Source organism: Homo sapiens, chromosome 10, assembly GCF_000001405.40.
Source record: "Homo sapiens chromosome 10, GRCh38.p14 Primary Assembly".
NCBI classification, from domain to species: domain Eukaryota; kingdom Metazoa; phylum Chordata; class Mammalia; order Primates; family Hominidae; genus Homo; species Homo sapiens.
In genome coordinates, this window is record NC_000010.11 from 119,235,901 (window position 1) to 119,262,194 (window position 26,294).

The 26,294-nt window shown below is 47.4% G+C and overlaps 1 protein-coding gene across 1 annotated transcript in view, besides 2 other annotated features; it reads left to right on the top strand.

Annotated features, from left to right (window-relative positions):
* GRK5 (G protein-coupled receptor kinase 5) overlaps positions 1–26,294 on the top strand; it is a 252,175-nt gene that overhangs the window by 28,330 nt on the left and 197,551 nt on the right. The window lies entirely within an intron of this gene.
* Positions 4,863–5,364: an enhancer, noted in NCBI's record as "H3K27ac hESC enhancer chr10:121000275-121000776 (GRCh37/hg19 assembly coordinates)". NCBI's record gives its function as "activates a minimal SCP1, AML or CMV promoter by ChIP-STARR-seq in primed H9 embryonic stem cells {active_cell/tissue: H9 hESC(primed)}" and the evidence as "EXISTENCE:reporter gene assay evidence [ECO:0000049][PMID:30033119]".
* Positions 6,033–6,599: an enhancer, noted in NCBI's record as "H3K4me1 hESC enhancer chr10:121001445-121002011 (GRCh37/hg19 assembly coordinates)". NCBI's record gives its function as "activates a minimal SCP1, AML or CMV promoter by ChIP-STARR-seq in primed H9 embryonic stem cells {active_cell/tissue: H9 hESC(primed)}" and the evidence as "EXISTENCE:reporter gene assay evidence [ECO:0000049][PMID:30033119]".

Here is a 26,294-nt window from a genome sequence, read left to right on the forward strand (position 1 = left end):
ACCAAAGGCTAATGGAGGTTTACAGCCAAGTTCCAGATGGTTCAGGGGCCCGAACCCCTGGGTGGAGCCTCTCTTGGGCCATATACCCATTCCCATGCCTGGCTGTCCCCCATCCCTTAGACCGTGGCTGCTGCTGCTGGACTGTGTTCTCTTGTGCAGATATTAACGGTGCCAAATAGTGCCAGGGCCCAGGTTGCAGTGGGCTCCTTATTGTCCTGTAATCTCAGCACTTTGGGAGGCCGAGGCAGGCTGATCACCTGAGGTCAGGAGTTCTTATTGTCTAGCCCAGAGGTTGCAAACTGACCTACACACTATTTTTTTTTTCTTTTTTTTGAGACGGAGTCTCGCTGTCTCTCCCAGGCTGGAGTGCAGTGGCGCGATCTCGGCTCACTGCAAGCTCCGCCTCCCGGGTTCACGCCATTCTCCTGCCTCAGCCTCCCGAGTAGCTGGGACTACAGGCGCCCGCACCTCACCTGGCTAATTTTTTGTGTTTTTAGTAGAGATGGGGTTTCACTGTGTTAGCCAGGATGGTCTCGATCTCCCGATCTCGTGATCCGCCCGCCTTGGCCTCCCAAAGTGCTGGGATTACAGGCGTGAGCCACTGCGCCTGGCCCCTACACACTATTTTAAAAATCGGGAAATTTCACGTAACCTTTCTGATTTAAGACTTCTTTTAGATAATTCAAAGTTTTGGCGACATTAGGTAAGAATTTTTGTGTAGCAGCATTTGTCTGCAGTTAATTTTTTTCTTTTTTTTGAGACGGAGTCTTGCTCTGTTGCTCAGGCTGGAGTACAGTGGCATGATCTTGGCTTACTGCAACCTCTGCCTCCCAGGTTCAAGCAATTCTCCTGCCTCAGCCTCACAAGTAGCTGGGCACACGCCACTGCACCTGACTAATTTTTGTATTTTTAGTAGAGCTGGGGTTTTGCCATGTTATCCAGGCTGGTCTCGAACTCCTGACCTCAGGTGATCCACCCACTTTGGCCTCCCAAAGTGCAGTTAAATATTGATTGTCTCTTTTGTGGCAAGATTCCAGTCTCTTCCTTTTACCACAGGCCACAATAGTTCCTCTTGTCTCATATCAAGTCCCCTTTACTCATTTATATCACCTGACCAGCCTCTGGTTTCAGGGCCTGTCTTCTGTAGTGTATTTGCCTTACCTTTTTTTTTTTTTTTTTTGAGACGGAGTCTCACTCTGTCACTCAGGTTGGAATGCAGCCGCGCGATCTTGGCTTACTGCAATCTCCGACTCCCAGGTTCAAGTGATTCTCGTGTCTCAGCCACTTGAGTAGCTGGGATTACAGGCATGTGCCACCATTCCCAGCTAAGTTTTGTATTTTTAGTAGAAATGGGGTTTCATCATGTTGGCCAGGCTGGTCTCGAACTCCTGCACTCAAGTGATTTGCCCCCGTTGGCCTCCCAGAGTGCTGGGATTACAGGCGTAAGCCATCTTGCCTGGCCTGTATTTGCCTTACAAACTGCAAGTGATCTAAAAAGAACAAATTCTCATTTGAAAAAATAAGCACTATGGCCAGCACAGGACTGACTTAAAACATAATTTCAATAGGCACTGATTTTGTCATTTAATGCTGAGAAGAGGCAAAAACCCTATATGGATTCTTAGAAATAGGACTATGTTGGAATGGAAGAGATGGCAGGCATTGATTTGGAGTCTCCAGCATACTAAAGGGAAGGGCTTTCTTCAAGGAAATGAAAAGTGATAAAGAAAGCTACTTGATAGAAGTATTCAGGGGCTTGAAGGCCTTTCAACTTCAGGGAGCCGGAGAGGGGGAGGGAACTGAGGAGGGCAGGTCGGGTGGGGTGGGGAAGAGAGAGAGACCCTTCCATCTCAGCCTTCCCCACTCCCCATGGGAACACTGGAAAATAGAAAGGACAAAGGAAATGGAAGCAAGTGCGCTGGGAAATGCCCAAGTTTCAGCTTGAATGATGCTGTTTACATGTTCTTACAGGAAAGACTATTATGGGCCAGCTGTTAATGGGTTGTCTGTCTGTCAAGAGAGAGAGGGATGGAGGAAGGGGCTGGAGTTGAGGGATGGAGGAAGGGGCTGGAGTTAAGGCATGGAAAGGGCTCTAAGCCTTGCTTCTTGCATTTCCTGTCTTTAAACTTACGAACTAAAGGGCTTGAGGGTGAGGGGGTGCTGATCTAGGGAGGAAGGAGGTTGCTTTCTGTGTGCGTGTTTTTCTGTTTCATGTCCTGACTATTTCCTGGGTCCAGAGAGGGTTTTCTGGTCTGAAGAGGAGAGTGTGCCCCTCACAGTAGATGGGGTGACAGACAGTTCTGCCCTCTGCTGTGCTGGTGACAGCCGGGAGGGTCAGACTTTATCAGTTTCCTGGGTGGAGGGTGGACGGGAAGCGGGGGGCCTTCTGCTGAAGATCTCAATTAAACTTTGGACTGGCTCATCCAGGGAGGTGGCGCGATTTCCTCTGGAGGTTTAAAATAAATAGCAGGTACTTGATTTCATCTGGAATGGAGGGTGTGGCCCTGCCTGGCACTGGGATGGACCCAATGGTCTCCCCAGCCTTCTTTGTTCTGATACTACACACCCCACCCCTCAACCGCCTGAGAAATTTCTGGAACTGCGTTTAGTCTCAGTACATTAGGATTATTGCTAGAAATAAAGCATCCCTGGATCCTTTGGCTTCTTGGACAATATGCAGGAAAACACCCGCCTTCTCTTAGACATGTAGGGTTCGCGCCGTTGACCTGAGCTTCAGTGCCAGAGAGTCGAGCAAAGAGAATATCACTTTTACTTAAAAGTGAACTGCACGGGGGTTGACTCTTTCAAGGCCTGAGATTGATGCACTCTAATTTGCCATCTGGAATTGGTTAGCCACATTCTTCTGGGCTCTGATGAGAAATGATGACCCCGGAGAAGGGTGGTCATATGGCCAGTGTCAGGATTAATAGAATCCCCTTTCATTCTTGAAAGGGTCCCTGTTTGGGCAATAAAGTTGATGGTTACTCTACCATGAAAGAGCAGAAAAAGCTGAGCAGAAAACTTTGTTTTGGAAAAGGGGGTGTTGAAGCCAAGGCATTAGAGAAACGTGATTTTTCATTTAATTATATATATAGTTTTCTTTTTTGTAATCTAAATGACATGTGCAACCTTCAGAGCCTGACTCCTTGCTGGAAAGAGAGAAAGGAGGTTTTGTTACTGAGAAGCTTATTTTAAAAGTCAAGTCGGGTATAATAAAATAAATGAAATAAATAAAAGAGCTCCCCAGTTAAGGGCCTTTCCCATGCTGGGGCTTCGGGATAACAAGAGCTTGAACTGCCTTCTGTCACATGGGGCAGGTCCTTAAGGAGCAGAAGGTTTTTTTTTTTTTTTTGAGACACAGTCTCACTCTGTCACCCAGGCTGGAGTACAGTGGTGCAATCTCAGCTCACTGCAACCTCCGCCTCCCGGTTTCAAGCGATTTTCCTGCTTCAGCCTCCCAAGTAGCTGGGACTACAGGCACCTGCCACCGTACTTGACTAAATTTTTTGTATTTTTAGTAGAGATGGGGTTTTGCCGTGTTGCCAGGCTGGTCTCAAACTCCTGACCTCAGGTGATCCGTCTGCCTCAGCCTCCCAAAGTCCTGGGATTACAGGCATGAGCCACTGCACTAGGCCTGGTTTATTATTATATTTTAAGTTCTGGGATACATGTGCAGAACGTGCAGGTTTGTTACATAGGTATACATGTGCTATGGTGGCTTGCTGCATCCATCAACCCATCACCTACGTTTGGTTTTTCTCCTAATGCTATCCCTCCCCTAGCCCCCCACCCCCTAATAAGCCCCGGTGTGTGATGTTCCCCTCCCTTTGTCCATGTGTTGTTATTGTTCAGCTCTCACTTATGAATGTTTGGTTTTATGTTCCTGTGTTAGTTTGCTGAGAATGATGGTTTCCAGCTTCATTCATGTCCCTGCAAAGGATGTGAACTCATCCTTTTTTATGGCTGCATAGTATTCCATGGTGTATATGTGCCATGTTTTCTTTATCCAGTCTGTCATTGATGGGCATTTGGGTTGGTTCCAAGTCTTTGCTATTGTGAACAGTGCTGCAATAAACATACGTGTGCGTGTGTCTTTATAGTAGAATAATTTATAATCCTTTGGGTATATACCCAGTAATGGGACTGCTGGGTCAAATGGTATTTCTGGCTCTAGATCCTTGAGGAATCACCACATTGTCTTCCACAATGGTAGAACTAATTTACATTCCCACCAACAGTGTAAAAGCATTCCTATTTCTCCACATCCTCTCCAGCATCTGTTTCCCGACTTTTTTTTTTTTTTTTTTTTTTTTTTTTTGAGACGGAGTCTCACTCTGTCACTCAGGCTGGAGTGCAGTGGCAGGATCTCCGCTCACTGCAAGCTCTTTCCTCTGGGTTCATGCCATTCTCCTGCCTCAGCCTCCTGAGTAGCTGGGACTACAGGCGCCTGCTACCATGCCCGGCTAATTTTTTTGTATTTTTAGTAGAGACGGGGTTTCACCATGTTAGCCAGGATGGTCTCGACCTCCTGACATCATGATCTGCCCGCCTCAGCCTCCCAAAGTGCTGGGATTACAGGCATGAGCCACCACGCCCGGCCTTCCCAACTTTTTAATGATCACCATTCTAACTGGCATGAGATGGCATCTATTGTGTTTTTGATTTGCATTTCTCTAATGACCAGTGATGATGAGCTTTTTTTTAATATGTTTGTTGGCCACATAAATGTCTTCTTTTGAGAAGTATCTGTTCATATCCTTTGCCCGCTTTTTGATGGGGTTGTTTTTTTCTTGTAAATTTAAGTTCTTTGTAGATTCTGGACATTAGCCCTTTGTCAGATGGATAGATTGCAATTTTTTTTTTAAGTGACGTGGTCTCACCACGTATCCCAGTCTAGACTTGAACTCCTGAGCTCAAGCAATCTTCCTGCCTCAGCCTCCCTAGCTTCCAAGTAGCTAGGATTACAGGCTCAAGCCACTGTGCCCAGCCAGGAGCAGTTTTGAAAGGCAAAAGGACCATGACTGAATGCTGCATATCTAGAACATCCAGGAATGCAGATGCCCAGGCCAAAGGGCTCTGGGGTCGGAGCAGGCAGGATTGTGCCGGGGGCTCTCAACCCTTTGCTGGGGGCCACTTGTTCTCTCCTTAACCGTGGACTATTGCAAAGGGTGGAGATCGGAGACTGGAAAAAAATCCGTGTTCTAGTCCCTTGTTGCGTGCTTCCTGGTGGACTGACCTGTAGCAGATAGCCCTCCTCCTCCGGCCTCAGCTTCCTCGTCTGTGACGTGGGCAGGGTGCCGTCATCTATCCCCGGGGCTTCTGTGAGAATCAAATGGAGAAGAGCAAAGGCCACGTGAGGGGTTGGCTCTGTGGTCCCTGTGCTCATAGACTGCGGTTTCCTACGGGCAAAAGGGGAAAGTGACCCTAGAACACCTTTGTGTCAGGGATGCATGCCAGATGGCCTTTAGTGCACTCTCTTCCCAGCCCTGTCAGCAACTGACAGGTTCAATAAGACTTTGCCAAAATGTTCAACTAGCTTTTCCTGATGCGGGTCTTTCTTCAAATTCTGTCCCACACCGTTAACTGCAAACTTCTTTCAGAACACCTTTCACGAAAATGAAGCTGGCATAGCTGTGGAAAGAGTTGATGGTAGTGTTGTATATAATTGTGAAAATTGGCATAGTGGTGGGCACATAGGGGATGTTCATTCATTCACCCAGTGAGCCTTTCACTGTGCCCAGGCCCTGAGACAGTCGGGGTGGCTGGGAACATGGTCTTTGCCTTGATTGTGGAATTGCCTGCTTGAGGGAATGGCCTGCAAATCACACAGGTGGAGAGGAGGAAGAGCCGTTTTCCTCCGCCCTCTTAGGTTCATTGGTTGGGGGTTACAAATGAAGTTGACAAAAGATTAACAAGAGAAAAAATGGATTTAATTGGATTCTTAGGCACTGGAGTTCATAGGGAAATGTGGCTCAAGGAGGCAGCTAGGATTTGGGGCTTATATACCATCTTAGGCTAAAAAAGAAAAGGAGTTTTGGGCTTCTGGAGGGTAGGGAAGCCATGGGAAGGTAAGGGGAGGAAATGTATGGTAAATAAGGGTTGTTTAGTAGGTAAGAGTTGTCTCAGGTGCTAAGAGTTGTCTGCTTTTCTTCCTGCTGTGGGGGAGGAGGGAGACATCTTTACAAGTAGAAATTTATGCCCTGCTTTTAGGCAGAAGAAGGGCAGAGAGCTAATTGCCTTCAGCTGAAAACAATTCTTATGCCAAAGTGGTATATTTTCGGGTGGCATATTTTGGTCCCCTTTATTAATAACTTACACCCTATTAAAGAAGAATAACGACTGAGTGACCAGAGATTGAATGCTGAGTGGAAAAGTTTTACTGCCAGGTGGGGAGCCCGATCTAGCTTAGTCTCAGCTCTGAGGGATGGAATCGGAGCGGGGGCAGGAATGATGTAGGTTTTTCATAGCTGAAAGCCCACAAGCTGTGCTGCATTGACGTCAGGAAGGCAGTCTTGCCGAGCACTGGTGCCTGCCTGGCCACACCTGAGCTTGTCAGTGAGCTGGGTACCTGACTGGCTGACAGTGCTCTCCTGCATCCAAGAGCTGCCCTGGCATCATGGTGCCCAGTGTGTCTGCTGCACACGAGATACACCAAAGCAGGTGATATGGTTAGGGCTTTGTGTCCCCACCCAAATCTCATCTTGAATTGTAACCCCCATAATCTCCACGTATCAAGGGAGGGACAAGTTGGAGGAAATTGAATCATGGGGATGGTTTCCACCTTGCTGTTCTTGTGAACTATCTTGTGATAGTGAGTGAGTTCTCATGAGATCTGATGGTTTTATGAGGGGCTCTTTCCCCTTGGCTTGGCACTTCTCCTTCCTGCCACCTTGTGAAGAAGGTGTCTTGCTTCCCCTTTGCCTTCCGCCATGATTGTAAGTTTCCTGAGCTCCCCCCGCCCCCAGCCATGCTGAACTGTGAGTCAATTAAACCCCCTTCCTTTATAAATTACCCAGTCTCGGGCAGTTCTTATAGCAATGTGAAAACAGACTAATAGGCCAGGCGCAGTGGCTCACGCCTATAATCCCAGCACTTTGGGAGGGTGAGGTAGGCGGATCACCTAAGGTCAGGAGTTCAAGACCAGCCTGGCCACCATGATGAAACCCTGTCTCTACTAAAAATACAAAAATTAGCTGGACATGGAGGTGTGCCTGTAATCCCAACTACTCAGGAGGCTGAGACAGGAGAATTGCTTGAACCTGGGAGGTGGAAGTTGCAGTGAGCTGAGATCACACCACTGCATTCCCACCTGGGTGAAAGAGCAAGACTCCATCTCAGAAAATGGACTGATACAGCAGGATTGTGGCACCCAGGGAGGTGTGCTCTGTGTCGGCATGTTAGGTGGCCAGGTCGAGTTTGTCCCATCTGATGGGTTATGTACCTATTAAAATAATATAGAATCATGAAAAATAATATATAAACTCATAAATGCAAGAAGTAGAACATTACAAAATCCCAACTATAGTGCTTAGAAACCCTTTGACAGCAACTGATAGCAACTCAAATATAATTAGTGTATACAAAAAAGAGAATTTATGGATTCATATGTCTGGGAGTATTCCTGGATTTCTGGATCCAAGGATTCAAACAATGTTCCCAGTTTTTCTTTTTTTTTTTTTTTTTCTTTCTGTCCCTATCTCTCAGCTTGCTTGTCTTTCCTCTGCTTAATTCTTGGCTGGGTCAGGGGGTCAAAGAACAGCTTGCTTAACAACCCCAAGGCAAATAGAGCTTCTTTTCTGAAAACCAGCAGGAAAGTCACGGAAAGGACTCTCTTGGGAAGGATGGTGGGGGTCATGTGGAATGACTTACTGAAGAAGGGGATGAAGGAGTGCCACACAGTGAAAACCACAACTGTGTGAGCACGAGGCACCCCTGATAGGACCTAGTGGTTCATCAGTCACTTCTCTGCCTGAGTGGTAGGAGCCTAGATTTTATAGTTGTTTTCAATGACAAAAATCATAGTTTATAAAAGAGCATAATCTGACCCAGAGGTGTCCTTTCTGTCACGTTATGATTGGGGACAAAGTAGACATGCTCTTCAGCTTGATCATATAGTAGCTACCAGGGTTTAGTACACTGTCTCTATAAAGGGCAGATGATAAGTAGTTAAGGCTTATGAGCCATATGGCTTCTGTTGCAGGCACTCAGCTCTGCCATTGTAGTTTGAAAGCAGCCACAGGCTATACCTAAAGAAATGGGCATGACAGTGTGCCAATAAAACTTTATTTACAAGAACAGGTGTTGGGCCAGATTTGGCCCACAGGCCTTATCTTGCCATCCCCTTGATATAAACATGACTGAAAAATTTATATTCTAATAGACCATAAGACACTGCTCTAAAGTAAATTGTATATTTTTAAATCATGTGTCTGATAAGGAGTTAAGATGCAAAATATATAAGGAACTCCTACTATTCAATAACAACAACAACAGCAACAAAAAACCTGATTAAAAAATGAGCAAAGGAATTGAACAGACATTTCTCCAAAGAAGGTATACAAATGACTATAAGTATATGAAAAGATGCTCAATATCACTAGTCATTAGAAAAATGCAAATCAAAACCTCAATGTGTTGCCTGGGCAACAAAGTGAGACCCCCATCTCTACAGAAAAAACAAAAAATTAGCCGGGCATGGTGGCTTGGGCCTATAGTCCTAGCTACACAGGAGGCTGAGGTGGGAGGATCATTTGGACCCAGGAGGTCGAAGCTGCAGTGAGCTGTGATTGCAATACTGCACTCCAGCCTGAGCAACAGAGTTGAGACCCTGTCTCAACAAAACAAAACAAAAACCCAAAAAACCACAATGAGCTGTCACCTCATACCTGTTAGGACAGATATTATAATAAAAACAAAAAATAACTTGTTGATGAAGATGTGGAGAAATGGGAACAGTTGTGCACTGTTGGTGGGGATATAAAATAGCATAGTCAGCTACTATGGAAAATAGTATGGAGGTTCCTCAAAAAATTAAAAGTAGGATTACCACATGGTCCAGCAATCTCACTTCTGGGTTTTTATCCAAAAGAATTCAAGGCTGGGCGCGGTGGCTCGCACCTGTAATCCCAGCACTTTGGGAGGCCGAGGTGGGTGGATCACGAGGTCAGAAGATCAAGACCATCCTGGCCAACATGGTGAAATCCCGTCTCTACTAAAAATACAAAAAAATTAGCTGGGCGTGGTTGCGTGTGCCTGTAGTCCCAGGTACTCTGGAGACTGAGGCAGAAGAATCTCTTGAACCCAGTAGGCGGAGGTTGCAGTGAGCCAAGATCGCACTACTGCACTGCAGCCTGGCGACAGAGCAAGACTCTTTCTTAAAAAAAAAAAGAATTCAAATCGGGATCTCAAAGAGATATTTGCACTCCCTTGTTCATTGCAGCATTATTCATAATAGCCGAGAGGTGGAAACAACCTCAAAGTCTATAGGTAAATGAATGAAATGAAAAAACTGTGGCGTGTTCGTGCAATGGAATACTATCCAGCCTTATTAAAAAGGAAATCCTGCCATAGCCACAACATGTATGAACTTGTAGGACATTATCGTAAGTAAAATAAGCTAGTCACAGAAGAACAAATAATGCACAATTCCATTCATATGAGAAATTTATAGTAGTCAAACTCATAAGAGAATGGTGGTTGCCAGGGGAGAGGGAAATGGAGAATTGTTGCTCAGTGGGTATAAAGTTTCTGATATACAAGATGAGAAAGTTTGAGAGGTCTGCTGTATAACATTGTGCTTATAGTTAATCATACTGTGCACTTAAAAATTTGTTAAGGCCGGGCGCGGTGGCTCACGCCTGTAATCCCAGCACTTTGGGAGGCCGAGGCGGGCGGATCACGAGGTCAGGAGATTGAGACCATCCTGGCTAACATGATGAAACCCCGTCTCTACTAAAAAAATACAAAAAAGTTAGCTGGGCATGGTGGCGGGTGCCTGTAGTCCCAGCTACTCGGGAGGCTGAGGCAGGAGAATGGCGTGAACCCGGGAGGCAGAGCCTGCAGTGAGCCGAGATCATGCTACTGCCCTCCAGCCTGGGTGACAGAGCGAGACTCCATCTCAAAAAAAAAAAAAAAAAAAAAAAAAAGAAAAAAAGATAAATTTGTTAAGAGAACAGATCTCATGTTGTGTTTTTTAAAATCACAATAAAAATATACAGTTATCCCTTAGTATCCTTTGGTCATTGGTTCCAGGTCCCCCCTTATATACTAAATCCATGGATGCTCAAGTCCCTGATATAAAGTGACATAGTATTCACATATAACTTATGCACATCATCATCCAAACTCTAATCTCTGGATTACTTATAATACCTCATACAATGTAAATGCTGTGTAATAGTTGTTATACTGTGTTGTTCAGGGAATAATGACAAGAAAAAAGTCTATATGTGTTCAGTACAGACGGCTTTTTTTTTCCCCCTCAAGAGTTTTCAGTTGGAGGGTGGTTGAATCCATGGATGTGGAACCTGTGGATAGGGAGGGCTGACTGTATGTGTATACCAAATCATGTAAATTTTATAATAGTTTATTTTTTGTTCCTGATGTAATGGGAAGCATTTGGAAAACATAAAATTGATCCCATCACAAAAGAGGAATTAAGATTGCCTTGGGTTAAGGGTTAAGTAATGTCCTATCACCAGTTAATCTGCCAAGGATGTTGGTCATGGCCACATTCAAGAAGTGGTGTCTGGAGGCCACAATGAGATGGCCCAGTTCAGACATCGGCTAGAATTGTGTGGCAGAGCGTACAATTATGTCACGAATTTGGGATTAGCATGGCATACCTAGTTGAGGTTTAAAGCTCCCTCCTGCACCTTCCAAAGCAGGTGTTGCTTGGGGTTGAAAACCTTCACTGTTTGGTCAACAGAAGGCCCTCACAGCTCTGATGGGAATGTCACCTGAGAAGGGCTGGTCTCCTCGTGGATTTGCATTTCCGCACCTTCAGACACTGCCTCAGCCAGCTGCTGTTTTAACTGGCACAGAGGGCCTCGCTGAGAGCCTCTTGGGTTCTATCCAGATCTGAGAAGGAATCTGGGATGCCGGGGTCAGATCCGTGCCCTGGCCCGAGGATGGGATTTTGTACCCCGTTGCTTTCTGCAGTTGTGATGAGGTGGTGCTTGGCAATGGCCTGGAGCTCGGCATCTGAGTGACTGTCCGTCCTAGGGCGTCCAACTCCAGACCTCTCTTACCCAGGCCAGCGGAGGGCGGAAACTCTGAGAACATTCCATTAGAATAAGATACGTTTAATAAGAGCAATGGAAAATGGTAAACCTGACTTGGGGAAAGGGAATGTGCTCTTTCATGTAAAACAAACAAACAAAAAATGTGACTGTGAGAAGCATCCAGAAAAATACGATGACCTGGAGGCTGGATTTAAAATTGGCACTGAGGGAAATCTCATTTCCACAGTCGATGACTCCCCCTTCAGCTATGTTCATGCCAGTGGAGCAAACCAAAATAACTTTATAAATTAAAGTTTATGTAGTCAGGAAAGCTATGCCTGGACTATCACACACCAGATGAAACCCTTGAAGGCTTTGTTTACAACCGACATCCTGGGGTTGGAGGTTAATAGTGTCTGGAGAAGGTTAGGTCATGCACATGTTTAATAGCAATTAAAACAAAATCACTGGTGATGGTCAAAGAGACACAGCTATGTTTATTTACTATAGTTTATGCCACCTTTGTTTGTTTGTTTGTTTTGCCCTCTGGAAAAAATGTCTTTGTCCTGCCATAATTAATTGTAACCAGCTTTTGTTTAGAGGGGGCCACATGGAAACTGCTCAGAGAGCTCAAAGTGTGTTGGCAAGTGGTGACTTGTAACTAGTACCTCAATCATTTTCTTTTATGATACACATAATAGAAGGATGCATTTGGGATGTAAAAGTTTCAAATTATAGGGGCACATATATATACAGACAATCATGAAAGTCCCCCCCACCCTGCCTGGCTGCTGACATTTGGTGATAATCTTTCCAGACATCTTTCTAAATGCTGACTGTTTATATGTGAGTGAACAAGTGTTTATATCCATATGCACACAAATACGTAATTAGCTTTATTTTTATTTTAATTTCTTTTGAGACAGGGTCTCAGGCTGGAGTGCACTGGTGTGATCATAGCTCACTGCAGCCTCAACCTCCTGGACTCTAGCAATCCTCCCACCTTGGCCTCTGAAGGAGCTGGGACTATAGGCATGTACCACCACACCCAGCCAATTTTTAAATTTTTGTGTGGAGAAAGGGTCTTGCCATGTTGCCCAGGCTGGTCTCAAACTCCTGGGCTCAAGCAATCCTCCTGCCTCTGCCTCCCAAAGTGCTAGGATTATAGAAGTGAGCCACTATCGCTGGCTGTTGTCGTTATTTTTGATCCATAAAAAGAGGGTCATGATGTGTGTGTTGATGTACAGCTTGCTTTTTTCACTTACACATCCAGAGTTCCTTCACACTGGCCCATGTGCAGATGACATTTTTTTAATCCTGCAGGGCGTTCCATAATATGAATTCTGTTCCTAATTTATTGAGCCATTTCCTCACCCTTTCTTTTTGATACTAAATGAAGCAATGATAGCATGAGATTATGAATGTGCCTTGTGGAGCTTAGACTGCCTGGCTTTGAAACAGGACTTAGACTAGATGAGTGACCTAGGGCAGGGGGTGGCAAGCTATAGCCTCCATGGCAAATCCACCCCGCTGTGTTTCTGTAGGGCCTGTGAGGCAAGACTGATTTTTTCATTTTTAAATGGTTAAAAAAAAAAGGTAAGTATTTCCTAATATATGAAAACGGTGTGAAATTCAAAATTCAGTGTCCATTAACTTGTTTTGTTGAACAGCATGCTCATTTGTGGATCTATTATCTAGGGCTTTTTTCATGCCACAGAATTGAGTAGTTGTGACAGAGACCATATGGCCCACCTAGAATATTTACCATCTGGCCTTTTACAGAAAACATTTGCCGACCTCTGACCTAGGGCAAGTTACTAATCTCTCCATGTCTCAACTTTCTTTTCTTTAAAATGGAGATACTAGCTGGGCGCGGTGGCTCATGCCTGTAATCCCAGCATTTTGGGAGGCTGAGGTGGGTGGATCACCTGAGGTCAGAAGTTCAAGACCAGCCTGGTCAACATGGTGAAACCCCGTCTTTACTAAATATACAAAAAAATTAGCCGGGCATGGTGGCGGGTGCCTGTAATCCCAGCTACTCAGGAGGCTGAGACAGGAGAATAACTTGAACCCAGGAAGCGGAGGTTGCAGTGAGCCGAGATCGTGCCATTGTGCTCCAGCCTGGGCAACAAGAGCGAAACTTCGTCTCAAAAAACAAAAAACGAAAAACAAAAAGGAGATACTAATAATACCTACCTTGTAGGGTGAAGTGACTTAATATATATATCAAATAAATATCATATGTAGAATACCTACTTTGTAGGCTTATCTAAGTTACTTAGTACATATATCAAATAAATATTATGTGACACACCAGGTATATCATGTATCAAATATGTATGAATTGTGTGTAAACACTTTAAACATTTTATTTTATTTTATTTTACTTATTTGAGATGGAGTCTCACTCTGTTGCCCAGGCTGGAGTGCAATGGCGCGATCTCGGCTCACTGCAATCTCCATCTCCCAGGTTCAAGCAATTCTCTTGTCTCAGCCTCCTAAGTAGCTGGGACTACAGGTGCGCTCCACCATGCCCATCTAATTTTTTAAATATTTTTAGTAGAGATGGGGTTTCATCATGTTGGCCAGGCTGGTCTTGAACTCCTGACCTCAGGTGATCTGCCTACCTCGGCCTCCCAAAATGCTGGGATTATAGGCGTGAGCCACTGCGTCCAGCTGACTTTGAACTTTTTAAATGCTCAAAAAAGTTTACTATTACTGTGTCATTGTTATTGTAAGTGCATAACTCTTTGTGCACGTGTGCAAGGATGTCACAGATACCTGGCAGTGGGCTTAAAGATGAAGGGTCTTAACAAATTGCCTTCCAGAATGGCCCCACTAAGTCATGCTCCCAACAGTGGAGTCTCTGCTTTCCCGCATTCTTGGCAACTCTGGATAGGGACTAGGGCTTAGAAAAGAACACTGAATCCTCAAAGAGCCTCTGACCTCCACAGAGGCTCTTCAGAGTCTAGGAGTGCTGTGCCCAGACCTGTGGGGTGAATCTCCCTGGAAAGCCTTCAGTCAGAACATGCTCATTGTTTGTTGAGTGAGAGTCTCTTCTGTGTTAAGCCTTTGACCTGTAAATTTTCATTTTACAGATGAAGAAACTGAGGGGCTCAGAGAAATTAAATCACCTGCTCCAGGTCCTGAAGCTACTTGTGGATGTAGGGTTTGAACTCAGTTGTGGGGGCCTTCATACAACTTTCTTTGCCATTCTCCCTAATTCCAGGAAGGATAAGGCAACGTCAGAGATAGTCATTTTCTTTAACTTTTTCTTTTTCTTTTATTTGAGGCAGGGTCTCGCTCTGTCACCCAGGCTGGAGTGCAGTGGCGTCATCACAACCTATTACAACCTTGATCTCCCAGGCTCCAGGCATCCTACAGCCTCATTTAAATTTTTTTTTTTTTTTTGTACAGTCAAGGTCTCACTTTGTTGCCCAGGTCTTGAACTCCTGGACTCAAATGATCCTACTGCCTCGGCCTCCCAAAGTGCTGGGATTACAGGCATGAGCCACTGTGCCTGGCCCTACACCACATATTCCATCCACACTTTTTCCTTAAGTCAGCACCTTGATGACTGGATCAGAGCTACACACAAAATTGGAAGTGAACGTTGGAGAAAGTGGCTTAGTCATGACCTGTGTTTATCTCCTCTTGCTCTGAGTAAAGAGGATGTGTAATAGAGTATGTTACTATATTTTTCATATCCCGATGCCATAGCCTGTGCTGCCCAGTCACACTGAGAACAATGCAGTTCTCATAGATAACCCGTTGTTGGGTGATATGTCTATTTCTAGGCATCTCCACGCTCTCCTATCGAGGGCCTTTGCAACAGTATTTCCCATGTTCCATCAGCGCGTCTGCAAAACATGAAGCAGCTTCATTCACCCAGAGACTCCTGACCTTGTGCATGAGGGGAAAATGTTTCTGGTTTTGTGTGTGTTTTCAATGACGAACATTTGCATTCTTTCCTCCCCTCACTTTTTTTTTTTCTCACGTTGACATTAAGAAACAACAACAAAACGCTGCTTGCTCCCAAACTGTTTGAATTTAAAACTCTGAATCTTAATTTGCATAGACAGTAGTTCTTTACAAGGAATGTGAACCATTTGACAGAATTTCCTGAAGGAACAAAGAGCCATGATTTCCTGATTAAAACCATGTTAAAACAAAAAGCAGACTATAACCAAAAGGCTCTGTAAGAGTATTTCTTGTTCAATCAGATTTCAAAGGCAGCACAAGCTGGATGTTTATGGCATCACCAATGCCTTTCTGTGATGCCTGAGCTTTTCAAGAACATACTCAGAACTTTGTCTTAAGCCTGTCTTTACTCGGAGCTGTCTCCCGAAGCCTTGGCCTTCCTCTCCGCAGCTTCAGTTACTGAGTCACTGGAACAGAGGAAGAAGCCCAGGCTTCCATTCTGACAGGCTGCGAACATTTATCTGGAGTTGTAATTGTCATACTCCCACGTTATTTTCTTGCTGTCTTCTAAAGCGATGATGAAAGATGTCTGGGGGAAAGAAAATAAAACAAAAAACCTTCTAGCATCTACACACCTAAAGCAGGGTTTGTCAACCTTGACACCGTTGCCATCTGGGGCTGGATAATTCTTTGTCATGGGGGCCGGCCTGTGCGTTGGATGATGTTTAACAGCATCTGTGGCCTTTAGCTTCATAGTTATGACAACCAAAAATGTCTCCAGACTTTGTCAAATGTCCTCTTGGGGGTAAAATTGCTCCTGGTTGAGAACCACTCGCCTCGATTTTGGTGGTCTAGAATTTGCAAGCTGCTTCTCCGCCCTGTGCATATCCAATCCTCAGCCCTTCCACTAAGGATTAGAACTTGATTTTCTTCTTTTCATCCCACCCTCCCTGCCTTGAGATATTGCTGCATCTGGACAGATGTGCCAAGTACAATTCTGGCTCAGGTGACTGAAGTCTAAGTCAGACATATGTCTTCACTCTCCCTGACCATCCCTCTTGCTGCTGGCCTGCGTGGCGTGCTCGTGCCGATAGGGGCAGCTGTGTGAGTAGCAGGACCATCCTGGAGACAGCCATGCAAAGGGAAACCATCTGGGTGGGGTGAGCTTGCCAGCCCCAGCTACAGGTCCTGGTGGAGTTGACAGTTGATGGATCACTGTGCTGTGACCTCTGGGCAGCCCAGGCCTGCGACGGGCAGAGAGCTGTCTTGTTTCTCCTTTTGGAACCTGAAGGGCAGAGACAGGGTGAAGTTGCCAGGAGAGGCTTTCAGCTGGATCCTAGGGGCCAGCGTGCAGCCCTTTCCCAGGGCTGGGGGTAGGGGAGAAGTGTCTCTCTCTGGGCCGTGTGGATGGGCCAGAACCCTGAGCTGGGTGCAGAGGGCTACGCTGGAGAGGCGGGGAAGGGCACTGGACCGGGTGTCTCGAGACCTGGGCATGGTTTTAGTTCTACCCCGGGTAGCAGCACGATCTTGTGCAAATAGTGTCTTCCTTCTGGTCCTCATGTTTCTCGTAAAGCTGACTTCCAACTAGAACAGTCTACCTTTCTATTTTTCTCCTGATTTGTAGAAAAAGATGGTGCTGTTAAGAGACGGAAATGTGGCCTTCCTAAATTTGCTTTGAGTCCTGAGTTCCTGATTTGGGGGCAAGTGTCTGTGAAGGGCTTGGGGTCACTCTGTGGCTTTTGCCTCATTTTTATGGGTCGTAGAGGATACCTCAATAAATAGCATTTTTCTTCCCTGAACAAATTGAGAGATGAGGCCATGGTTGAAACTTTGAACTTTGGAACTTGCCCAGATGTATCAGGTCAGTCACCCTCCTCCCCTGGGGCCAATAAACCAAGTGTTCCAAAGGCCAGGTGGTCTTAGGGAAAATGATGGACCCTGAAGGGTGAGGGTCATGGCCAGTGTGGACTACAGAGGATCCCCTAGCCACACTGGAGAGGGGACAGTGCCCTGGTTTTCCTGATACGCCCCCTTAGTGCTCAAGGCTGGTTTCAACCCTGCTGTACTAATCTGCTGATGAGGGAGAGTTGGTGGCTCAGTGGTGACAGCACAGGTTTGACAGAGGGTGTCTACACCACCCAGTGCCCCCTTGAGCTCACATCTGAGGGTCTGTTGAGATTACAGAGGCCCTTGATAGAGTCCGAAATTTGAAGGACAAGCAAGGAAGATTGGAGCATCTGTGAACTATCTCCAGTTCAGCATTGCATTAGAAAAGGAATTACATCAGGTCACTGATGTCTTCTCCTAACTCAGTGATCTCCACAGCCCCCTGGATCCTGCCAGGCCTGTGGAGAAGAGGGACAAGCCAGCCTCCCCACCACCCCTGCCCTCCGTTCCTTTTATATTTAAATCAGAAGCTTAGGCTCCTCCGTGTAGCTGCTCTATTTTTCATGCCTCTTGCCTGGGTCTAAGCCCTGGAGCTTAGGGTGCTGTGATATGCTTGCGGGATGCTGCCCCACCACGGCTGGAACCAGGGCTTCAGCCCGGCGCACACCCAGCTCGTTTGGAGGTCACGGCTCACCATAAAAATGGTGTGAGTGGCCAGCTCTTTTTTCACTGTGGCTCTGGGCAGCCCAGCCCAGCTCCGGGGTGGATGCAAGGCCTGAGAGTGAACTTTGTTGTGAATGATGACACAATTCCAGAAAAATGCAGTGTCTCCCAGATACGGCTTCTGGAGCTTTGCCTGGGGTGGGGGGCTGGAGGTTGTTTAGTGTTTGGGTTCCTGGTGGTTCTTTGCCCCAGGGGTGTGTGTGTGTGTGTGTGTGTGTGTACACATGTGTGTGCGTGCATGCTTTTTCATGAGGCACACTTATTTTCAGATGTTCACATGGACTCTTTTTGAGATTCCCCAGGGGAAAAGGAGAAAGTACAGAAAGCCGTGACACCTGATGGAAAATATTACGCTTTAGTCAACAGGGCTGATGTGTCTCCTCTGACTTTGCCTTTAAACCAAACCACACCACAGCGGGGAAAGATGAGCCACACATGAGGCCTGCTGGGCCGGTGACTGTCCCCTAAAGTGGGACTCTTGTAATTCTAAGCGCCTTTGAAAAATGCTTTCAGAATCATCCAGTACTTGAGTTGTAGGGGGCCTGAAAGGTCATCTTGGCCCAGTGGCTTGTTTTAAAGGAGGAGGAAACTGAGGGCCAGAGAGGACCTATGACCCTCCCAGGGTTGCACAGCTAGAACTCAAATCCTGTCTCTTGATCCTCAGAGAAGGGTTTGGTCTGTTCTGTTCTGCCCTACTTTAGTTTTTAGACAGTGTATTGTGATAAGTTTTAGATTTTTTTTTTTGTACTCTGCTCTTATTCATTCAACAACTCTGGGGATTTACTGGGGAACAGGCAGACCTGGTCCTTGTGCTCAGGGGGCTTACAGCCTAATGGGAAAGGCAGCTTGGAACAAGAAACCGTGCATGGGATTTGTAGCGGGTGTGGCTATCTTATTTCTGGCCAGTATGGGGAGGGAGAAGGGGTGGGAGTTGATGGCTGGGGCACGGAGGATGTCATTTCAGCTCTGTGGCCTGGGTCAGGTGCCCAGCCCAGCAATCTGAGTGTGGATGACTCTGGACTATTTCTCCAGGAGGAGGTGGGATTCACAGGCAGAGACATATCAAAACAGGGACCTTGGGATGTATGATGTATTTTGTAAGAAAAAAATGGAAAAACAGGCCGGGCACGGTGGCTCACGCCTGTAATCTCAGCACTTTGGGAGGCTGAGACGGATGGATCACCTGAGGTCAGGAGTTCGAGACCAGCCTGGCCAATGTGGTGAAACCCCATCTCTACTAAAAATGCAAAAGTTAGCTGGGCATGTTGGCAGGTGCCTGTAATCCCAGCTACTCAGGAGGCTTAAGCAGGAGAATTGCTTTAACCCAGGAAGCCGAGATTGCGCCATTGCACTCCAGCCTGGGCGACAGAGCAAGACTCAGTCTCAAAAAAAAAAAAAAAAAAAGAAGGAAAAACAGAGTAGAGCAGGAAGCTCTGTGTATGTATGCGCAGGTAAGGTCGTCAGGTGGGAGGAGGCCAGGAGATGAGCCATTTGGAAGCCCGGAGGTGGCCTTGACTTCCCTGATGGGAGGAGAGAGAGCTGCTGGGAGAGATAGGATCCAGGGAGGGGTGTGGCACAGGCTTCTGGAGGGACAGCAGCTATGGCCAGAGGTGGATCTCTTATTCTCAGGGGTATCAGGGACCCAGGCTCTTTCCACTTGGAACACAAGATAGCAGGGGCCTTTGTCACCAGCAGGATGGAAGCTGACACACAGGACACCCCTTCCAGGAAGCTTTGTCACATCGACTTCACCTAACTCCAATGACCTCTCCCTTCTGAGTCCCTCTGCACTTAGAGGCTCTTTCTGTTTGGACTGAGTGGTGGTTTTGGAAAGGCTCTTGTGTGATTTTCACTGGCGTGGACTCTTCCCCAGATGCTCACTTTGTACTAACACCGCTGGCTCATTATCACAGAGTCATGGAGCAGGCACTGAGACTCAGAGAGCTCTGTGGCTGCGCAAGGTCAGGGTAAAGGTGGGACTTCAGCCTCACCAGACTCCAGAGCCTCTGGCCGTTCCCGCCATGCCTGCTGCCCCCTGTCCTGGTGTGTTTTCTGCCCATTCTCCCAGACACGGGCTCCTTGAGGGACAAGGTGGTGAGTTAGCCCTCTTGCTTCGAGCCATCATTTATCATGGATTGTGCTAGCAGTCGTAGGTACACAGACGAGCAAGGCCTGGCTTTGCCCTCGAGAGCTGACCGGGTTGTAGAAGCTGGGATGCAGGGAGGGCTCTGGGCCCAGGGAACAACCACTTGAGGCAGCCAGGGAAGGCTTCTTGGAGGAATGACACAGGAGCTGGCTTGGGCTATATAGTCTCTCACTTTGCTGAACTTCCATTTCCTAGTAAGTAACTTGGATATGACTGTGAAGTTATTGCAACCATTGTGTAAAATAGTTATTCAAGCAAACCAGTTTGAAACCCTTTGCAAATAGAAGACACCGAGACTTGGTATTGACAGTCCTCTGTCAGGAGAGGATCCCAGTCTTGGCCCAGCCTCCACTGCACACTGTCCCAGGAAAGCCTCCCAGAGCCACCCTCTCGCTGCCTGCAGGGCTGCCCTTCAGTGGCCTCGACTCCTGTGGAGACTCTGCATTCCCGGCCAGATTTGCCTTTCCCTCTGGGCGGACCCCCCCACACACCTCACAGCACCAGCCTGGGAGCTTGGGAGGGGGCGTGAAACCAGCAGGTGGGAGTCTGGAGTCCTGGCTCCGGTAGTCGCCAGCCACTTCTTGTCCCCTGGTCCCTCATCCTCCATCCTCTAGGCCTACTCTTCTCTTTGCAGAAAGGCTCCTTGGGGTTCAGAGAATGTAGGAAACTTGTTGGAGCTCACACAGCTGAGTAACAACCAGGCCCTGCTGCCTCCTGTACACAGTATTTCCTGCTGCTCTCTGGGTACATGGAGTGGGAAGGGGAGGCCCTGGGCCACAGCACCCCACCCCTCACCTCTATCGCACCCCACCCTTCACCCCTATTGCACCCCACCCCTCACCCGTCGCCTCTTTATTCTATCTCTGAGGTCGTGACTGTGTCTCTGGTAATGAATATTTTGCTTTGGAACATCCCCCCTCTTTTTATTGAGAGATAATTCACGTACCATAATATTCTCCACTTTAAAGTGTAAATTTAATAGTCTTTGTACATTCACAATGTTGTGCAACCATCACCACTATCTAATTCCAAAACACTTTCATCACCATCACCCCAAAAAGAAACCCTGGATCTAATAGCGATCACTTCCCACTTGCCCCTACCACGGTCCCTGGCAACCGCCAATCTGGGTTGTCTCTGGATTTATCTATTGTGGACATTTCACGTAAATGAAATAATACAATATGTGGCTTTTTGTATCTGGTTAATTTCACGTAGCATAGTGTTTTCAAGGTTCATCCATGTTGCAGCCTGCATCAGTGATTCATTACTTTTTGTGGCTGAATAATATTCCATTGGATGGATGTACCACAATTTGTTAATCCACTCATCCACTGATGCTACCTTCGTTTTAACTTCAGTTACAGCCTCCTGCTGTCCCTTGAGTTCTTTGGGGAGTGTTCTTATTTTTAATTTCTCTAATGGAAACTTTGGTCAGTGTTCTCCACCTGTAGGCTGGGTATTTTGACATGTTTTCCAAGTGGCTTCTGGAAACACGGAAGCAGTGATTCTGAAATGGAAAAGAGAACATTCTCTCCCATAGGCCCCCCTGTCTGATATAACTCCCTGGTGGCACGCCTCAGTGAGGGTGGCACCATCGCAGGTGGGAGGGAGTATGTCTATTTCAAAAGTGCTGGGGCAGGGGCCGGGTACGGTGGCTCACACCTATAATCCTCCACTTTGGAAGGCGGAGGTGGGTGGATTACTTCAGGCCAGGAGTTTGAGACCAGCCTGGCCAACATGGTGAAACCCTGTCTCTACTAAAAATACAAAAATTAGCCAGGTGTGGTGGCGGATGCCTGTAGTCCCAGCTACTCAGGAGGCTGAGGCAGGAGAATCATTTGAGCCTGGGAAGTGGAGGCTACAATGAGCCGAGATCATGCCATTGAACTCCAGCTTGGGCAACAGAGCGAGACTCTGTCTAAACAAAAGAAAACAACCCCCAAAAAAGTGCTGGGGCAAAGTGGCTGAGCCCACTGGTGAAAAGGCGCTGTGGATGGGGTGCCTCCGACTTGTGTGCAGCTCCTCAGTTATGGCTATGCCCTGGCTGTGACAAGGACAGGATTCTGGCACAGCTAGTCTAAGATCATGTTTTGGGGTCCTTGCTCAGAGTGTTGCCTTCATTCTCTTTTATTTTTTTCCCATTTATTTAGTGAAAATGTAATTTATATACAGTAACATCTGCCTCTTAAAAGTGCATAGTTCTGCGTGTTGTAACTGTGTACACCACGTAGTTAGTACACATGGTGTCATGTAACTACCACCACAATCAGGAGTACTTTCATCACCCCCTGAAACTCCCCCAGACTCCCTTGTAGTTACCTCCTACTCCTAGCCCCAGCCCCTGGCAACCACTGGTCTGCTTTTTGTCTTTACAAGAATGTCATATACATGGAATCACACCGAGTGTAGCCTTTTGAGTCTGATTTCTTTCACTTAGCATAATGTATTTGAGATTTGTCTGTGTTGTTATGTGTATCAGTTTCCCTTTATTTCTGAGCAAGAGTTCAGGGTTTGTTTATTCCCCAATTGAAGGATGTTTGGGTTGTTTCCAATTTTTGGTGATTATGAATAAAGCCACTATAAGCATTCACGAACAGTTTTTTCTCTGAACACAAGTTTTCTTTTCACTTGGGTAAATATGTAGGAGTGGGATTGCTGGGTCACATGGTAGGTGTATGTTTAATTTTATAAGAAACCTGCAAGCTGCTTTCCAAAGAGCTGTACCGTCTTGCATTCTCAACAGTGATGCATGAGCATTCATTATCTTTCATTATGTTCTAGGCTCTCACATTGATCAGAGGCAATATGGGCTTGGCGTTTTAATTGCAAGGAACAAAGACTCTGCCTCCCTTGCCTGTTTTAGTTTAGGTTCCCCAGAAGTGGACTCTGGTGCAATGATTTGAGTGTAAGTAGTTTATCCGGGGGTCAATGCCAGGAAACTCCCCCCACCTCCAGCAGGGGAGTGGAGAGGGGAGAGGAAAAGGAAGGTAGCTGGTAAAGGGTATGTCATCAGGCAGGAAGCCTAGTTTCTAGAATCCATCCCCTGTCAGTTATTGACTGAGGGCTCCTGCGGGAGTCTTGTCAATTCCCTGGCACTCCAGCCTGCCCCCTTCTCAGGAGAGCTGGCTTTGCTGGCTTTGGCAGCCAGTCTCAGGTGAAGGGTATTTGGAAGTCTGGCCCAGGTGCAACAGTGACAGGGCACTCTTCCCAGGTGATAGCGGTTCCTTCCATCCTCTTTCCATGACACTCCCTCTTTCTTTTTCTTTTTTTTTTTTTTTTTGAGACAGAGTCTCGCTCTTTCGCCCAGGCCGGACTGCAGTGGTGCTATCTCGGCTCACTGCAAGCTCCGTCTCCCAGGTTCACGCCATTCTCCTGCCTCAGCCTCCCGAGTAGCTGGGACTATAGGCGCCCACCACCGCGCCTGGCTAATTTTTTGTATTTTTAGTAGAGACGGGGTTTCACCGTGTTAGCCAGGATGGTCTCGATCTCCTGACCTCATGATCCTCCCGCCTCAGCCTCCCAAAGTGCTGGGATTACAGGCGTGAGCCACTGCGCCCGGCCTAACACTCCCTCTTTCATCTTGGCTCTGTCTACTGGTGGCTTCCTTTTCTGCATCATACTTTCTGCTCATTGTGTTTCTCTTCATATGTTCCCACTACCAGCTAACTGAATGTTGACACCCCAAAGAGAGAAAAATTGGTTGGTGAGTTAGTCACTGCTTTTCTCTTGGACAGAGCCCTCAATTTAAGTCATCTGGTAGGCACACCAGTCATTGTTGGCTGCCCTTGGGTCAAGTGGCCTGCCCTGGGCCAACCAGCTGTGACCAGGGAAGTGGGTCAGAGAGTTCAGAGCAGCGCTGTCCAATGGAACCTTCTGTGATGATGGAAATGTTCTGTATATTATGGTAGCTACTAGCCATGTGTGGCCATTGAGTGCTTGAAGTGTGGCTTGTGCTACCAAGGAACTGAGTTTTTAATTTCATTTAATTTTAATAAATTAAGATTTAAATTCACATAGCTGCATATGGCTAGCGGCTACCATAGTGGACAGCATAGCTCTAGAACATGGGCCCAGTTTTTGGCGATTATGAATAAAGCCACTATAAGCATTCACGAACAGCTTTTTCTATGAACATAAGTTGTCATGTTCTTGGCCTCTTCTCTCCACTAAATAATGTGGTATAACATTCTCTTGAGATCAGTTGTTTTTTTTTTTGAGACGGAGTCTCCCTCTGTTGCCCAGACTGGAGTGCAGTGGAGCGATCTCCGTTCACTGCAAGCTCTGTCTCCTGGGTTCATGCCATTCTCCTGCCTCAGCCTCCCAAGTAGCTGGGACTACAGGTGCCCACCATCATGCCCGGCTAAATTTTTTTGTATTTTTAGTAGAGATGGGGTTTCATCGTGTTAGCCAGGATGGTCTCGATCTCCTGACCTCGTGATCCACCCGCCTCGGCCTCCCAAAGTGCTGGGATTACAGGCGTGAGCCGCCGCACCGGCCAAGGTCAGTTTTTTAAAAAGCCAATTAATATCTGATTTGTGATTCTGAATCTTTAACATATTTAACCGTCTGCTTTTTTTTTTTTTTTTTTTAATTCACAGATGACATGGTCTTTTTTTTTTTTTATTGATCATTCTTGGGTGTTTCTCACAGAGGGGGATTTGGCAGGGTCATAGGACAATAGTGGAGGGAAGGTCAGCAGGTAAACAAGTGAACAAAGGTCTCTGGTTTTCCTAGGCAGAGGACCCTGCGGCCTTCCGCAGCGTTTGTGTCCCTGGGTACTTGAGATTAGGGAGTGGTGATGACTCTTAACCAGCATGCTGCCTTCAAGCATCTGTTTAACAAAGCACATCTTGCACCGCCCTTAATCCATTTAACTCTGAGTGGACACAGCACATGTTTCAGAGAGCACAGGGTTGGGGGTAAGGTCACAGATCAACAGGATCCCAAGGCAGAAGAATTTTTCTTAGTACAGAACAAAATGAAAAGTCTCCCATGTCTACTTCTTTCTACACAGACACGGCAACCATCCGATTTCTCAATCTTTTCCCCACCTTTCCCCGCTTTCTATTCCACAAAACCGCCATTGTCATCATGGCCCGTTCTCAATGAGCTGTTGGGCACACCTCCCAGACGGGGTGGTGGCCGGGCAGAGGGGCTCCTCACTTCCCAGTAGGGGCGGCCGGGCAGAGGCACCCCTCACCTCCCGGACGGGGCGGCTGGCCGGGCAGGGGGCTGACCCCCCCACCTCCCTCCCGGACGGGGCGGCTGGCCGGGCGGAGACGCTCCTCACTTCCCAGACTGGGTGGCTGCCGGGCGGAGGGGTTCCTCACTTTTCAGACGGGGCGGCTGCCGGGCGGAGAGGCTCCTCACTTCTCAAACGGGGCGGCTGCCGGGCGGAGGGTCTCCTCACTTATCAGACGGGGCGGCCGGGCAGAGACACTCCTCACCTCCCAGACGGGGTGGCGGCCGGGCAGAGGCGCTCCTCACATCCCAGACAGGGCGGCGGGGCAGAGACGCTCCTCACTTCCTAGATGGGATGGCGGCCGGGAAGAGGCGCTCCTCACTTCCTAGATGGGATGGCGGCCGGGCAGAGACGCTCCTCACTTTCCAGACTGGGCAGCCAGGCAGAGGGGCTCCTCACATCCCAGACGATGGGCGGCCAGGCAGAGACGCTCCTCACTTCCCAGACGGGGTGGCGGCCGGGCAGAGGCTGCAATCTCGGCACTTTGGGAGGCCAAGGCAGGCGGCTGGGAGGTGGAGGTTGTAGCGAGCCGAGATCACGCCACTGCACTCCAGCCTGGGCGCCATTGAGCACTGAGTGAACCAGACTCTGTCTGCAATCCCGGCACCTCGGGAGGCCGAGGCTGGCGGATCACTCGCGGTTAGGAGCTGGAGACCAGCCCGGCCAACACAGCGAAACCCCGTCTCCACCAAAAAAATACAAAAACCAGTCAGGCGTGGCGGCGCGCGCCTGCAATTGCAGGCACTCCGCAGGCTGAGGCCGGAGAATCAGGCAGGGAGGTTGCAGTGAGCCGAGATGGCAGCAGTATAGTCCAGCTTCGGCTCGGCATGAGAGGGAGACTGTGGAAAGAGAGGGAGAGGGAGACCATGGGGAGAGGGAGAGGGAGAGGGAGAGGGAGAGGACCGTCTGCTTTAAAAATGGGAAATATCAGTATTTGAGGCAATGAAGTCAAAATTGACCTAATGAGATGTTGATACGATTCTTTTCCTGAAGCTTTAATACATTTACATTTTTATTTTTGGAAACTCACTTTCATTCTGTACATTTATACTGTACCTATTTTGTGTTGTCAGATGTACGTGTGTGAGTTACTGATTTTCTTCCTCACACATGGAGACACTTGGCAGCCAATCAGCCCACCAGGAAATAG